Source organism: Homo sapiens, chromosome 1 (genome assembly GCF_000001405.40).
Source record: "Homo sapiens chromosome 1, GRCh38.p14 Primary Assembly".
Taxonomy (NCBI): domain Eukaryota; kingdom Metazoa; phylum Chordata; class Mammalia; order Primates; family Hominidae; genus Homo; species Homo sapiens.
This window is the reverse complement of record NC_000001.11, coordinates 11,952,174-11,967,659: the sequence shown is the minus strand read 5'-3', so window position 1 is coordinate 11,967,659 and position 15,486 is coordinate 11,952,174. Positions and strand designations below refer to the sequence as shown.

Sequence of the window (15,486 nt, the reverse complement as noted above, 5' to 3'; positions counted from 1 at the left end):
ATATATATATATATATATAAATAAAATCTATATATATTTCTTTTTATATATATATATATATACACACACACACACATGAAAAGAAAAAAAAAAATGGTACCTGAACTTTCCAGGACAGGAACAGGTGTTGGGATTCTCACGGAGAGAACACAGGGCCTAGCACCCTCAGCAGGCCACCTGCTCCTGCTGTCTGATGAACTTGGACCCGACAGCCCTTCCTAATGCCCCTCATCCCACCTTGGCCCTTTCCTCCCCAGCTCCACCTGGGGGAAGTCTAGGGAACCAAGCTAAGCCATTCCAATAGCAAACCAGGAACTGAAAACCTAGTAGCTTACGGTCAAGGCAACTCAAAGCCACACGGTGGCAACAGCAGCTCAGGGACCAAACTCCATCTCAGGTTTCTCAATCCCTCTACTCCTACCTGCCTGCAGATACCCATGCCAGCACCCCTATGTCAAGAGTCCCAGAAAGGGTGGCCAGGCCAGCTTGCCAGAAGACCCCAGACAGTGAGCGGCACTGATGGAGAGGCAGCCTCCCTGCGGCCCCAGCCCAGGCATCAGGGTCCCACCTTGTTGTTGCCCAGAGACCACTGGCCAAAGTGCTCCATCTCCTCCACCAGCTCATCACAGGCCACCTCCGTGAAGATGGGGAACCAATAGACATCCGGGCAGGGCTGGGGAGGGCAGGGACTCAGTCAAGGGGGTCCACAGTGGCACCACAGAATCCTCCTTCCTCTTCAGGGCCACACACCCAAGCCAGGGAGCCCTCCCAGTGTCCCCGGGGAGCAGGGCCTTGTCAATCCTGGAGAGACTGAGTGGGGAGGAGGAGGCAGAGCCCAGAGACAGACTTTCCCAGCCGAGGTCACAGAGCTACCAGCGCCAAGGTCAGACAGAAACATGGGCATGGAGGGAGGGAGGGGGCAGAGGCCCCAGGCTCGGGGGAAGCAGACATTAGTGAGTGGAGAGAAGCAGCCACTCCCCGAAGTGGTCCAGGCATGGTGGGCCACAGTGGCCATCACATCCAGGATGTTTTCCTCCTTCCTGCCTGGGCCAGGTAGAGAGGCCCTGCAGACTCCCACAGCCTCCAGCAGGAAAGTGCCAACAGGTAGAGGGGCCATCCTGCCTCCCCCCACCCCCATCCCACCACCCCCCACTCCCATCCCGCCGCCCCCCCATTCCCATCCCGCCACCCCCAACTCCCATCCTGCCGCCCCCCAACTCCCATCCCTCCACCCCCAACTCCCATCCTGCTGTCCCCCACTCCCCAGGGCAAGCAGTTTCCCTTCTGTGCCCTGCCCCCTGCAGCAGGCAAGGCTGGTCCAAGAGGGTGTCCATGGCCCTTACCGTCTCCACCAGCTTCCCTGCCAGGGCTTTGGTGTAGTTCTGGTGGATGTACTTCTCCTTCCAGTCCTGTGGGAAGTGGGAAGCAGGCTAGGGTCCTCACCATTGGCTCAACTGCCAGGGATGCTCAGAGCAGACCCCTCAAAGTGGGAGTGAAGGTGTACGTGCTTGACAGAGGCAGGTGTTCACCTGCACCCACTGGGTGCGTGTGTGTTGTCTGGGTGCACAGGTGTGCCCATAGGAGGTGGTGTTTGCACATGTATGTACATGTGTGTGCTTGTGTGTATATGTCTGTGTGCAGGCATGTGCTTACACCCATCAGCTGTGAGCTCCCAACGTCTAGAAACAGTTACAACTGTCTCCCCTTCTGATCATCACAACACCCTCATGGGTAAGACAGGCTGGGACAGTATACCCATTTTGGAGCTAAGATAACTAAGGTCCCCAAAGCTGGAAGGCTCAACTAAGTCCCAGATGATGGCAGATCTAGGCCACAAACCCAGGCCTCTTGAGTCCTGGTCCCTCCTCCAATAGATGGTGTTGCCTCTCTGGACACCCTTCTCTCCCTACCCAAATCCTGCCCTATAGCCTCCTGGGGTGAAGGGAGGGTGGCAGGTGGCCTACAGGGGTCCTGGCTGTTGTAAGACTCTGAGAGGGAAGTCCCTCCGACTGCAGGATCACTGGGCCCCTTTGCTCCCAGCCCCTATGTGCCCACCCTGGCCTCACCTCGGGGTTGCTGAACACCTCCCAGAGGTCGTTGTGCAGGTGGGTGGTGCGGTAGCTGTCTAGGGAGAGCAGATGGCCAAGGGTGTGCCGGTTGGTCAGGAACATGAACACATCCTGGGGAGGACAGGCCCGGTGGAAGAGGCGCTCCCCCACCCCTCCCCTGCCCTCACCCCTCCCCTGCACGCTCCCAGACGGGCAACAGTGCAGCCTCCTCCACCCGCCGAACTGAAGTTCCCAATATCAGAGACCAAGTGCAGTCACCGCTATGTCCCCAGGGCCCAGCCCAGGCCTGACACTAAGAATGTGATCAGGGAAGTCTTCCCAGAGGACTGAACACAGAATGAAAGAAAAAATGCGTAAAAGAAAAGGAGCGTGTTCTGGTCCTGAAATGTTGGTCACAGGGGAAAACTTCATCTTGCTGCATGTTTAAAAAAAAAAAAAAAGTCACAAAAATATATGGGGTGGGGCGCAGAGACAGGGTGAGGTGTCTCTCGGGCACATCACTTGGAGTACCTTTAGGTGGAAAGTTCCGTTTTCTTTGGGCTATTCCAAAAATGTAAATAAAATAGATGGTATAAAAACCAGGTCAGCTAAAATGGTCCCTGCAGACCCCTGAGGACCAGCCCTCGTGCCCGACGGCCCCCATTCCTCCAGCAGGCCCTGGTGGCTTCCGAGATGCCCTGCTAGAATCTCTGGAGCTCCCAGGCCTACGGTGACAAGGCGGCCCACCATGAGGGTCAGAGCTGGAGGCCCACCTTCCCGCCTGCCCCATCCAGAGGGCGTCCTGTGCTGCCCGCTCCTGGCTGACCTGCTGCCGGATGTTGGCACAGAAGGCCATGTCGGGGTCCAGCTTGCTGTGGTGGAAGAGATCTGAGGACTGCAGCTCACCCCGCAGGGCACTGCCCTTGATCAAGTAGATGTTTGAAATATAGGGCACATTCCAGACACCACTGTGGGAGAGACAGAAAGCGGGTGGGGGTCAGAGGCTGGTGGTGGGGAAGATGGAGGGGGTCACAGGGTGGTGGTGGGGAGTCATAGCCTGGAGTCTGGGTGTGAGAAGGGAAGTCACAGGCTAGGGGGGCACAATTGTGCTGATTTGATTCCCCCGCCCTGGACACATGGGCCTATTTGTCAGGAAGTCCTTCTGTGTGTCTAACTGAAGTCTTCCTTGCTTCAGGTTCAACAGGAATTTGAGGGTAACAAGAACAGGAATAATAGGGAGGGAGCCCCACAAGCCCAGGCAGAAGCCAGATGAAGGTGTCCCCCACCCACCCCCACCCTGCAGGTACTCACACACGCCGCCCCTGCACAATGTCCACGTAGTCCTCGGAACGGGCATAGTAGCCATCTGCACTGAGAGCCCCCCAGAAGTTCGACCACAGCCTCCCATGCCGGGTCATCAGCGGGGCAATGACGTTCCTGAGGGAAGGGAGCACCTCAGTAGGAGGTCGCTGCCCACTGGGAGTAGGAGACAGCACTAACCAGGGATGGGGGGAGGTAGGTGCCCCTCAACCTGCACGCAGGGATCCCCAAGCACCTCACTGAGACAGGCAGTGCCTTGGCCGGGGTGTCGGGGGTTTGGCTCTTCTGGTACCTGCTCCCTCCCATGGGGCAGCCAGGAGCAGACAGGGCAGGACACCTTCTCTATCAGAACCTGGGGTATCAGGCTGGGGATCCACAGCTCTGGGTAATAGGTGAGGCCAAGGAGGAGGAGGAAGAGGAGGAGGAGAAAGAGGATGAGGAAGACGAGGAGGAGGAGGAAAAAGGAGGAAGAGGAGGAAGAGGAAGAGGAGGAGGAAGACAAGGAGGAAGACGAGGAGGAGAAAGAGGAGCAGGAGAAGGAAAAAGAGGAGGAAGAGGAGGTGGATGAGGAGGAGGAGGAGGAAGGCAAGGAGGGCTGCCACCCCAGGACCAGGCCAGTCCTGAGCAGTGCTGGGTGCAGACGGAGCAGCCTCACTTGTTCTGTTGGATCAGCAGCCGCAGGCTGTTGGGCTCGGTCAGGGCCACGTCAGCATCCACGCTGAAGTAGTAGGTGCAGCTGCGGTCCTGCCGGCACAGGTCTCTGCAAGGAGGAGGACACAGGGTCAGTGCACCTGATCCTGGAGCTACTGGTGGCTGCTCACATCTGTGACCACAGTCTGGCTTCACCACATATCAGCCAAGGGGCTTTAGAGAGGTCACACCAGCAGCCTCAAAGGTTCCTCCCGACTCTGAGTCCCAAACCCCTGGACTGCTGGGCTCTCTCACCCAAGGCCCAGAGGTTGGCAACTGGTATCAAGTGCCCTGAAAATCCTGGTACTGGGAAGAACACAGCCCACAGGTGCCTACATGGCCCAGGGTGGGGAGTAAGCTGGGGCTGCCTTTCTGAAATGCAATTTGGTAACTTGTACCAAAAGCCTTAAAAATCTGTGTTACTTTTGTTTATCTGGTACAGGACTCAGCAAACGAGGGTCTGTGAGTCAAACTCTGGCCCTGCCTGGTTTTGTACAGCTCATGGGCTAAGAACAGCTTTATGTTTTTCTTTTTTTTATTTTTATTTTATTTTATTTTTTTGAGAACGAGTCTCACTCTGTTGCCCAGGCTGGAATGCAATGGCACAATCTCAGCTCACTGCAACCTCCACCTCCCGGGTTCAAGCGATTCTCCTGCCTCTGCCTCCCAAGTAGCTGGGATTAGAGGCGTGCACCACCATGCCAGGCTAATTTTTGTATTTTTAGTAGAGACAGGGTTTTACCATGTTGGCCAGGCTGGTCTCGAACTCCTGACTTCAGGTGATCTGCCCGCCTCGGCCTCCCAAAGTGCTGGGATTACAGATGCGAGCCACTGCACCCGGCCTTTTTTCCTTTTTTAGAGATGGGGGTCTCACTGTGTCAGCCAAGCTGGAATGCACAATCATAGCTCACTGCAGCCTCAACTTCCCCAGCTCAAGCAATCCTTGGCCTCCCAAAGTGCTGGGATTACAGCCACTGCACTTGGCTGATTTTATGTTTTTAAGTTGTTTCAAGAAAAAAACAAATCGGCAGGGCGTGGTGGCTCACGCCTGTAATCCCAGCACTTTGGGAGGCTGAGGTGGATGGATCACGAGGTCAGGAGATCGAGACCATCCTGGCTAACACGGTGAAACCCCGTCTCTACTAAAAATACAAAAAATTAGCCGGGCATGGTGGTGGGCACCTGTAGTCACAGCTACTCGGGAGGCTAAGACAGGAGAATGGCGTGAACGTGGGAGGCAGAGCTTGCAGTGAGCCAATATTGCACCATTGCACTCCAGCCTGGGTGACAGAGCGAGACTCCATCTCAAAAAAAAAAAAAAAAAAAAGAAAACAAAAATCAAAAGAAGATGTAAAAATTATGTGAAGGTCATCACCAGGTGCAGTGGCTCATGCCTGTAATCCCAGCACTCTGGGAGGCTGAGACGGGAGGATAACTTCAAGCCAGGAGTTTGAGACCAGCCTGGGCAACATAGCAAGATCCTGTCTCTACAAAAAATAAAAATAAATAAATTAACCAGGCGCAGTGGCTCACACCTGTAATCCCAGCACTTAGGGAGGCCAAGGCGGGCGGATCACTTGAGTTCGGGAGCTTGAGACAGGCCTGGAAAACATGGTGAAACCTCGTCTCTACTAAAAATACAAAAATTAGCCAGGTGTGGTGGCAAGCACCTGTAATCCCATCTACTTGAGAGGCTGAGGCAAGAGAATGGCTTGAACCTGGGACGGGGAGGTTGCAGTGAGCCGAGATCGCGCCACTGCGCTCCAGCCTGAGTGACGGAGTGAGACTCAGTCTCTAAATAAATAAATAAATAAATATTTAAAAATTAACTGGATGTGATGGCACATGCCTGTAGTCCCAGCTTCTTGGGGGGCTGAGGCAGGAGGATCACTTGAACCCAGGGGTTTGAGGCTACAGTAAGCTATGATCCTGCCACTGCACTCCAGCCTGGATGACAAGAGTGACACCAAGTCTCAAAAAGAAAAAAAAATAAATGACATGAAAGTCAAATTTCAGTGTCCATAAATGAAATTTTGCTGGAATGCAGCCTCTGTGCTACTAGGGCAGAGCTGAGGGTTGTCACAGAGCCGGCAGAGCCAATTTGCAAAGATTTATGATCTAATCCTTAGCAGGAAGTTTGCCAACCTTTGATCTGGACTGTCTGACTCTTCTACAAGCAACACAAATTACTTCTTTCTTTGTTTTTGTTTTGCTTTATGAGACAAGGTCTCGCTCTGTTTCCCAGGCTGGAACACAGTGGTGCAATCATAGCTCATGCAACCTCGACTTCCCGGGCTCAAGAGGTCCTCCTGCCTCAGCTTCTTCAGTAGCTGGGACCCCAGGTTCAAGCCACCACACTTGGCTATTTTTTTTTAATTTTTGAAGAGATAGGGTCTCGCTATGTTGCCCAGGCTGCTCTTGAACTCCTGGCCTCAAGCAATCCTTCAACTTTGGCCTCTCAAAGTGCAGGGATTACAGGCATGAGCCACTGCTCTCGGCCTTTTTTTTTTATATATAATAAAGTAAAACATTCAAGGTTGGCTCCCTAATAGTCAGCCTTTGTCTACTTTTGCCCCCAGTCCTTCCTCTTTCTCTGATTTGCTTCCTGAACCCAAATAACATGGCTCAGCCCTGCCCAGGAGCCCCGGGGGTTGGCAGGACAGAGGCTATTTCCCCTTTTGACAGATGGAAACTCCAAGGCCCAGAAAGGGGCAGGAACTTGCTAGAGCACACACAGCCTTCTGAACTCCTGTCACTCAGCCTGCTGCTCCTTACCACAGCCACAGCTCCCCTGCCCCCACTGTCAGTGGAGAGTACTGTGGCCCACAACTCACGCGCCCATGTTCCTGGCATCTGCATTCGCCATCCGCACCTCAGGGCCCACCAGCTTCACAGACTGGTACTCGCTGCCATGCTGTGCCAGGAACTCTTCCACCTGAGCCTTGTGGTGCTGCTCCTGGGGTTGGGGATGGGGAAGGGGATGCGGGGGTGAGGAGGAGGACACAGCTTCCACCCAGGGACTGTAGCACCTCCTGTCACTGCCAGGCTGTGCCCCTTCATCTCTGGCACCCCGGCCATCTGCTTTCCTGTCTCCAGACCTTTGCCCATGCCAGCCCTGTGCCAGGAACACCCTTCCCTGGCCATCCTTTGCCCATTCTCCTCTGACCAGGTCAGGCCTCCTAAGAGCCTCTGTCATCAGGATAGAGCTCCGCCACCACGCTCAGGATCCCACATCCAGAGACATTGTTGATTCCTGGGTGTGGCCCAGAGATCCACTTTGTTACAAAATGTGCCAGGTGATCCTCAACTTCGCTTTGAAAAACAACAGTCCAGGCCAGGCACAGTGGCTCACGCCTGTATTCGCAGCACTTTGGGAGGCCGAGGCGGGTAGATCACCAGGTCAGGAGTTCAAGACTAGCCTGGCCAAGATGGTGAAACCACGTCTCTACTAAAAATACAAAAATTAGCCGGGCATGGTGGCAGGCACTTGTAATTCCAGGTACTCGGGAGGAGGCTGAGGCAGAGAACTGCTTGAACCCGGGAGGCGGAGGTTGCAGAGGCAGAGAACTGCTTGAACTTGGGAGGCGGAGGTTGCAGTGAGCCAAGATCGCACCATTGCACTCTAGCCTGGGAGACACAGCAAGACTCCATCTCAAAAAAAAAAAAAAAAGGAAAAACAACCATCCAGCTGGGTGCGGTGGCTCATGGCTGTAATCGCAGCACTTTGGCAGGCGGAGGCAGGCAGATCACGAGGTCAGGAGATCGAGACCATCCTGGCCAACATAGTGAAACCCTATCTCTACTAAAATACAAAAAATTAGCCAGGCACGGTGGCAGGCGCCTGTAATCCCAGCTACTCGGGAGGCTGAGGCAGGAGAATGGCTTGAACCTGGGAGGCAGAGGTTGCACTGAGCTGAGATCACGCCATTGCACTCCAGCCTGGGCAACAGAGCAAGACTCCGTCTCAAAAAAAAAAAAAAAAATACAAAAAATTAGCCAGTTGTGATGGCGCATGCCTGTAGTCTCAGTTACTTGGGAGGCTGAGGCAGGAGAATCGCTTGAACCCAAGAGGCAGAGGTTGCAGTGAGCCGAGATCGTGCCACTGCACTCCAGCCTGGGTGACACAGCGAGACTCTGTCTCAAAAAAAAAAAAAAAGAAAAGAAAACCAATTTGACTGCCACCAGGTACAATTAGGAAGGTAGGAAGGATTAACAGTGACAGGGATGGAAGTGAAGATGACAACAGTTAGAAGCAACTAGATGCGTCCTGTGCACCAGGCACCTTTTACGAACTTCGCATGTCAGCTTGCTTAGCCCTTGCAGCAATTCTGTGTGATTGCACAATTATTATCCCTATTTTATTTTATTTATTTATTTATTTATTTTTATTTTTTTTGAGACGGAGTTTTGCTCTTGTTGTCCAGGCTGGAGTGCAATGGCGCAATCTCGGCTCACTGCAACCTCTGCCTCCCAGGTTCAAGCGATTCTCCTGCCTCAGCCTCCTGAGTAGCTGGGATTACAGGCATCTGCCACCACACCCAGCTTAATTTTGTATTTTTAGTAGAGGCAGGGTTTCACCATGTTGGTCAGGCTAGTCTCGAACTCCCGACCTCAGATAATCTGCCCACCTGGGCCTCCCAAAGTGCTGGGATTACAGGCATGAGCCACCGCGCCCGACTTTTATGCCTATTTTATAGATGAGAAACTAAAGCACAGAGAGGTTGAGTAATGTGCCCAAGGTCACACAGCCAATAAAATAGCGGCGCTGGGATTCAAACTCACCCAGTCTGACTCCAAAGTTAACTCAGTGATTTGGGGACACAGTCCACTGGTGATTGTCATTTGGCCCAGATAAGCTAGATTCGGTGAGACCCTCAGAGGTCTCGGGCTACCTTGTGAAGCTGGGCCCTGGATCTAAGCCACATGACGACCCCACAGAGCGCCTGTTACTCACGTGGTTGTGGATGAAAAGTCGCATGTGTTTCTGGGGGTAGTGGAGCCGCAGGAGCCGCTGGAAGAACAGGGACACAAACGGCGTGGGCTGTTCGATGAACACGCCGACCAGGACCGTGGGCAGAGCTTCATCCTGCACCAGGGAGGGCGGCACAAGAGTCCAGCAGTGTCCAGTCACAGCACTGCCACTCCACCCCAGGGTGGCCCAAGGGAGTCAGAGCCAGAATCAGAAGCATGTAGACTTCCCAAGAAAGGTGCCCGGGCCGGGGAACTCCAGTCAGGGGGTACGGGGGGGCAGGGAAGCAGCAGGAGGGTGCCCCGGGGAGAGAGCAGCAGGAGCCCAGGCCTGGAACAAGGACTCGGTTGAGGGCCTGCTGTCAGGAGATCGTGGCTGGCGTGGTGTTCGAGGTGAGTCATAAATGAGGATGAGGTTCATGGGATGGGGAGGGGGCTGCAGGAGAGCCTGAAGGACCAGGCAGAAGAAACCAGAACCTGGACATCTCGGGGGAAGCTAGAGACATGCAATCTGAGAGGGCTTCCAGGAGGAGGCACTTGGGTGGCAACCGGGATAGAACCCCAGGCAGGGAGGTGACCCCTTCACTTTCCACCAAAGACAATGGAGTCTATTCCAGAATCACCCATCTCGCCATCTCAGGGGACTGAGCCCCCCGTGTCCCTCAGGCACAGGCCTGGGCGCAGCCTCACCCCAATGCCCTTGAGGCTGCGCAAGCCTTCGTCACACACGGTGCAGCCTGTTTCGAAGGTCCAGAAGCGCGGGATGTAGTTGCCCAGGTAGTTCAACTGCAGCTGTCGGGGAGACGTGGGGTCACAGAGAAGCCAGCCAGCCCCACCTGCCATAGCCCTGACTCACATCTCCCTGGGCCCCCAGTGGGTCAGCACCATCCAGCCCCCTCCCACTCCCTAAGAGGGTCTTGGAGATAATGCTCCATCCCCAGGAGATCACCAAGCCGCTCTGAGAGAGGGCAGGGGAGGGCTTGGCACTCTAGTGCTTCTCCCGAGAGCTTGTAAAATGCAGATTCCTGGGTCCCACCCCGCTCAGAGATTCCATCTGAACAGATCCTGGGTGAAATCAGCAAATTTGCATTTTAAACACATCACATCCTCCTTCCTCTCCCTCATTCCAGCGGTGAAGGACCACACTCAAATATGCTATGAGCTATGAGCCAGTTCCCCAGGGACCAGTGAGGTCCATTCTGTCCCTGGCCGCATCTGCACCCAGTCCCTTCTGTCACCATGAATGCAGGACATCCGTCCTGCTTATGACTATGTCTTACTGTCTGGTGCAAACATGAAATAAAGGTTTACTGAGTGAATAAGTGACTCTGCCCTGGGGTGACAGTGCAGATGGCTCTGGTAGCCCAGCCTAGGCCTGGAAGGGGATGGCAGCCTCCTACGTGTCCTGTGACCAGCAAGAACAGACAGAGTACCACTGACCACCACAGCAGGAAAAGAAGGCATCACGCTGAGCTCAGATGTGAGGACAGAGGCAGTGAGTTCATAGCAGGCCCCAGGAAGGTGGCCCTGGCCCCAGGGAGACACTGTGGGGTCACAGTGAGAATGAAATTAGGGCTCTGGCCCCCTCCCACACTCCCCAGGGGCTGGGGACCCCCTACCTTGGTTGGCCCGTTGCCATGGATCAGGACCGGGAGGGTGTCATAGGCCAGGTTCCTCGCTCTCACATGGCCCATTTCAAACTTGAGCACGACCTCATCTGGGGGTCAGAAAGCACAGTCCCACCCAGCATCAGACCCAGAGGTCAGGCTCAGGGTCCAACCAGCTGGGCTCAAATCCCAGCTGTGCAGTGAGTAGATTATGTCCTCGGGCAAGTCACTTCTCTCTAAGCCTCAGTTTCCTCATCTATAAAATAGGAATAATCCCTTCTTCATGGGGTGAGGGGGAGGATTTGTGTTGAACAAGCGTGGGGCACCAAGCCTGGCCCATCATGAGCACAGAATCCACGGCAACCCCTGTACTTGTTGTGGTTACTTACAGTCAGAAGCAGGGGCTGGGAGAAGAACGAAGACCTGGAACATCCCAGCTCCAGGCACCTCAGAGAAGCCCCAAGAGAAAGGGTCTGGGACGCGCCTTCTCTGAGTAGGCAGAGCAGCACTGAGAAAATGCCAGAGCCACATGCAGGGGAGGCCTGGGCATGATCAGGACAGATCTTGTCCCAGTGGAGGGAGCCCCTGCAGCAGGGTTCCAATACTCATGTTTTTTGTGTGTGTTTTTGTTTTTTGTTTTTTAGAAATGGAGTCTCATTCTATTGCCCAGTGTGGAGTGTAGTGGCATGATCTCGGCTCACTGCAACCTCCGCCTCCCAGGTTCAAGTGATTTTCCTGCCTCAGCCTCCTGAGTAGCTGGGATTACAGGCACATGCCACCACACCCAGCTAATTTTTGTATTTTTAGTAGAGACGGGGTTTCACCATGTTGGTCAGGCTGGTCTTGAACTCATGACCTCTGGTGATCCACCCGCCTTGGCCTCCCAAAGTGCTGGGATTACAGTGCCTGGCCCCCAATACCCATGTTTGACCCTATTAGTCTGCACATAGGAAAATGGGTATTTCAGCTGGGCACGCTGGCGCACACCTGTAATCCCAGCACTTTGGGAGGCCAAGGTGGGAGGATCACTTGAGCCCAGGAGTTTGAGACAAGCCTGCGCAACATAGTGAGACCCTGTCTCTATTTTAAAAATTAAAATAGGGCTGGGCACGATGGCTCACGTCTGTAATCTCAGCACTTTGGGAGGCCAAGGCAGGTGGATCACCTGAGGTCAGGAGTTCGAGACCAGCCTGGCCAACATGGTGAAACCCCATCTCTACTAAAAAAATACAAAAATTAGCCGGGCATGGTGGTGTGCGCCTGTAATCCCAGCTACTTGGGAGGCTGAGGCAGGAGAATCACTTGAACCTGGGAGGCGGAGGTTGCAGTGAGTCGAGAATTCGCCACTGCATTCCAGCCTGGGCGATGGAGCAAGACTCCATCTTAAAAAAGAAGAAAAAAAAAGGAAAACAGATAGCTCCTGACCTGCGTGGATCTGAACTCAGTGCTTCTTAACCCCCAGAAACCACAGGCAAAGGGCATTTTCTGCGTTTCTCTGGGAGCAGAGCCGTAGCTTTCATCAGATTCTCAAAAGGGCCCATTTATCCACAAAATCAGCAATCAGTGGATCCGGTTCACTTCCCTTTTGTAAAGATAAGAAAACTGAGTCCCCTGTGGGGAGGAGGTGTGACTTGCCTGAGGTCACTCAGGAAGACAGGAAGACCTGCGGCAAAGCAATGTCATCACCAGCCACAGACATGAGGCCAGGCCCAGGGATGTTTGCGGCATCAAGGGTCAAGTAGCCTTTTGCTTCCCAAGCTGCCTGTCCCACCAGCTGAGTTCCTGCCCCTAGCCCAGGACTCCTTCACCTGGAAGGTGGGAGGGCCGGGAAAGTGGGGAAAGAGGGCCCACCTGTAAGGACCTGGTATGCAGGGCAGGGGGTCCAGCACCTGCTGTGCGCATCCCCCAACTCCTCCCAGGCTGAATGCTCACTTGTCCCCCGCCCCCAAGAGAGACATGGCTCTGCGCCAGGATATCCAAGTGGCCCCTGGGGACCTGGGGATGAGGCCAGTGACCTCTCAGCACAATGGCCAGAAAGAAGCAGCCCATTTCTCCTCCCTGGGCTCGGGCCCTGCCTGGAATTCTTCCTATCACCCCTCTGAGGATCCACCCCTCCCCGTGGGGGCTGCTCACCCAAGGCTCCATCCAGGTTCTGGAAGATACGGCAGCGGTGGTCCAGGGTGATATTGATCTGCTCCTGCAGGAAAGAAGGTACCAGACTGCAGCAGGGACAGGCCCTGGGGGAGGCTGGGGCTACATCTCACCCAGTGTGGGGAATCTGTCCCCAAGTTCAGCCCTCATTCCCCACACCGACTCTGCCACGTCACATCAGGGCAGCTAGGTGCCCAGAGAAGGCCAGCAGCCAAGCTCCTGGGGTCTACAGTCTAGTGGCTCTACTCACAGAAAACCAGGGACTCTGAACTGGAAGGAATCTAAGAATGCAGCCGGCTCACCTACAACAATGACGGCCGTTAAGAGTAACCAGCACCTGCCAAGCACTCCACTACACGCACATAGCTACTCCAAATATTCTTTTTTTTGAGAAAGAGTTTCGCTCTTGTCACCCAGGCTGGAGTGCAATGGCACGACCTCGACTCACTGCAACCTCCGCCTCCTGGGTTCAAGCGATTCTCCTGCCTCAGACTCCTGAGTAGCTGGGACTACGGGCATGTGCCACCATACCCAGCTAATTTTTTTTTTTTTTTTTTTTTTTTTTGCTAGAGATGGGATTTCACCACATTGAGCAGGCTGGTCTCGAACTCCTGACCTCAGGTGATCCGCCCCCGCCCCCCGCCTCCCAAAGTGCTGGGATGACAGGTGTGAGCCACCGCACCTGGCCGCTACTCCAAATATTCTACACGAGTCGGGTGCGGTGGCTCACTCCTGTCATTCCAGCACTTTGGGAGGCTGAGGCAGAAGGATCACTTGAGCCCAGGAGTTTGAGACCAGCTTGGGCAACATAGCAAAACTTCATCTCTATAAAAAAATCTTAAAATTAGCCAGACATGGTGACGCAGGCCTATAGTCCCAGCTACTCAGGAGGCTGAGGTGGGAGGATCGCTTGAGTCCGGGAGGCTGAGGCTGCAGTGAGCTATGTTTCTGCCACTGCGCATCAGCCTGGGTGACAGTGAGACCCTGTCTCAAATAAATAAATAAACTATTCTACATATATTAATCAATTTAATCCTGACAACATCTCTGTGAGAAAGTATTATCATTATTGCTTTTTTTTTTGAGATGGAGTCTGGCTCTTGTCACCCAGGCTGCAGTGCAATGGCACAATCTCGGCTCACTGCAACCTCCGCCTCCCAGGTCCAAGCAATTCTCCTGCCTCAGCCTCCTGAGTAGCTGGGATTACAGGCACCCACCACCACGCACGGCTAATCTTTATATTTTTAGTAGAGACAGGGTTTCATCATGTTGGCCAGGCTGGTCTCAAACTCCTGACCTCAGGTGATCCACCCGCTTTGGCCTCCAAAGTGCTGGGATTACAGGCATGAGCCACTGGGTCTGGCCCATTATTGCATTTCATAACGGAAAAAACAAGGGACAGAGAAGTTGCCCAATGTCACACAGCTAGTAAATGGTGAGCTGGGATTGGAACCCAGGCAGCCTGGCCCTGAAGTCCTTATTCTGAACCAATGAACAATGCTGCCTCTTTAAGACCCGACAGCCGGGCACGGTGGCTCACGACTGTAATCCCAGCACTTTGAGAGGCCGAGGCGGGTAAATCACCTGAGGACAGGAGTTCGAGACCAGCCTGGCGAACGTAGTGAAACCCTGTCTCTACTAAAAATACAAAAATCAGCCAAACGTGGTGGTGCACGCCTGTAGTCCCCGCTACTCGAGACGCTGAGGCTCGAGAATCGCTTGAACCAGGGAGGTAGAGGCTGTAGTGAGCCGAGATCGCACCACTGTACTCTAGCCTGGGCAATACAGTGAGACTCCATCCCAAAAATAAAAAAATAGGATTAGTGTCCTTATCAATGAGGCCCCAGTGAGCTCCCTACCCCCTTCCACCATCTGAGGACACAGAGAGAAGTCAGCTGTGTCTGTACCAGTTAGAGGGCTCTGACCAGAACCCAACTGTGATCTCACCCTTCCGGCCTCCAGAACCATGAGAAATCCACATCCGTTGTTTGGGAGCCACCCAGCCTATGGCAGTTTGTCAGAGCAGCCTGCATAGACTAAGACACCAACCCAGGGGTTCAGGCCTGAGAGGAGCTGTTCCCGTGCAGCCTGGCCGGTGGATCCCCAGCCCCCTCTCCTTGGCCCGCCCACTGCCTCTTACCCTCTTCTCCGGGTCCAAGAAGATCTTGGTGTAAAACAGCTGATCGCTGTCGCTGTCCTGGCCCTCCCACTCGGCCACCAGTTTGCTGAGGTTGGGGGCATAACCGATGAAGCCTGAAGGTTGGTGGGTGGGGACACCAAGACGGACCCTTAGCTTCCAGCCTCTAAGTCAGGGGCCTCCTCCCACCCTTCCCTCTTATCCACCTCCACTCATATGCCCACAAACCCTGTCACCTCTCAGAAGTCCTCCTGAATTGACAGGAGGTGGGGCTGCAGGTTGGAAATGGGGCTGCCAGTGAATGTCACTTATTAATGAGTTCCTAATGACCCCAAGAATAAGACCAATGGTGCCCACTAAGCTGTACTGTTCAGTGCTGGGCACCATATAGGTGGTGAAGAAACGGATTGTACGAGGAGCCCCTGGAGAGCAGGGCTGGGAGGATACAGGCCTGGTGTCCCTTTTTACAGTTATCTGGGAAACCTGGCCCAGAGAAGGGAAAGGCTGGGCCAAGCTCACAGAGTGCCTTGGGGGCTGAGACCTGGCATAGTGGGGAAGCCCACAT

At 54.2% G+C, this 15,486-nt stretch overlaps 1 protein-coding gene across 2 annotated transcripts in view, besides 3 other annotated features; it reads right to left on the bottom strand.

Annotated features, from left to right (window-relative positions):
• The window catches only part of PLOD1 (procollagen-lysine,2-oxoglutarate 5-dioxygenase 1), a 40,821-nt gene that overhangs the window by 7,878 nt on the left and 17,457 nt on the right, over nt 1–15,486 (bottom strand). For both annotated transcript variants that reach the window (NM_001316320.2, NM_000302.4), the window contains 12 exons: nt 14,925–15,037; nt 12,767–12,830; nt 10,646–10,743; nt 9,717–9,818; nt 9,013–9,144; nt 6,893–7,014; nt 4,024–4,128; nt 3,360–3,485; nt 2,875–3,016; nt 2,067–2,180; nt 1,344–1,409; nt 569–673 (listed from right to left, as the gene is read on the bottom strand). In NM_001316320.2, the coding sequence (NP_001303249.1) occupies nt 569–673; nt 1,344–1,409; nt 2,067–2,180; nt 2,875–3,016; nt 3,360–3,485; nt 4,024–4,128; nt 6,893–7,014; nt 9,013–9,144; nt 9,717–9,818; nt 10,646–10,743; nt 12,767–12,830; nt 14,925–15,037 (1,289 nt within the window). The remainder of the gene's footprint in view (nt 1–568; nt 674–1,343; nt 1,410–2,066; nt 2,181–2,874; nt 3,017–3,359; nt 3,486–4,023; nt 4,129–6,892; nt 7,015–9,012; nt 9,145–9,716; nt 9,819–10,645; nt 10,744–12,766; nt 12,831–14,924; nt 15,038–15,486) is intronic.
• Nucleotides 242–742: an enhancer, noted in NCBI's record as "H3K27ac hESC enhancer chr1:12026975-12027475 (GRCh37/hg19 assembly coordinates)". NCBI's record gives its function as "activates a minimal SCP1, AML or CMV promoter by ChIP-STARR-seq in primed H9 embryonic stem cells {active_cell/tissue: H9 hESC(primed)}" and the evidence as "EXISTENCE:reporter gene assay evidence [ECO:0000049][PMID:30033119]".
• Nucleotides 743–1,243: an enhancer, noted in NCBI's record as "H3K27ac hESC enhancer chr1:12026474-12026974 (GRCh37/hg19 assembly coordinates)". NCBI's record gives its function as "activates a minimal SCP1, AML or CMV promoter by ChIP-STARR-seq in naive and primed H9 embryonic stem cells {active_cell/tissue: H9 hESC(naive and primed)}" and the evidence as "EXISTENCE:reporter gene assay evidence [ECO:0000049][PMID:30033119]".
• Nucleotides 4,220–4,421: a silencer, noted in NCBI's record as "fragment chr1:12023296-12023497 (GRCh37/hg19 assembly coordinates)". NCBI's record gives its function as "represses an EF-1alpha promoter that drives an FKBP-Casp9 reporter gene in an ReSE screen in HepG2 liver carcinoma cells {active_cell/tissue: HepG2}" and the evidence as "EXISTENCE:reporter gene assay evidence [ECO:0000049][PMID:32094911]".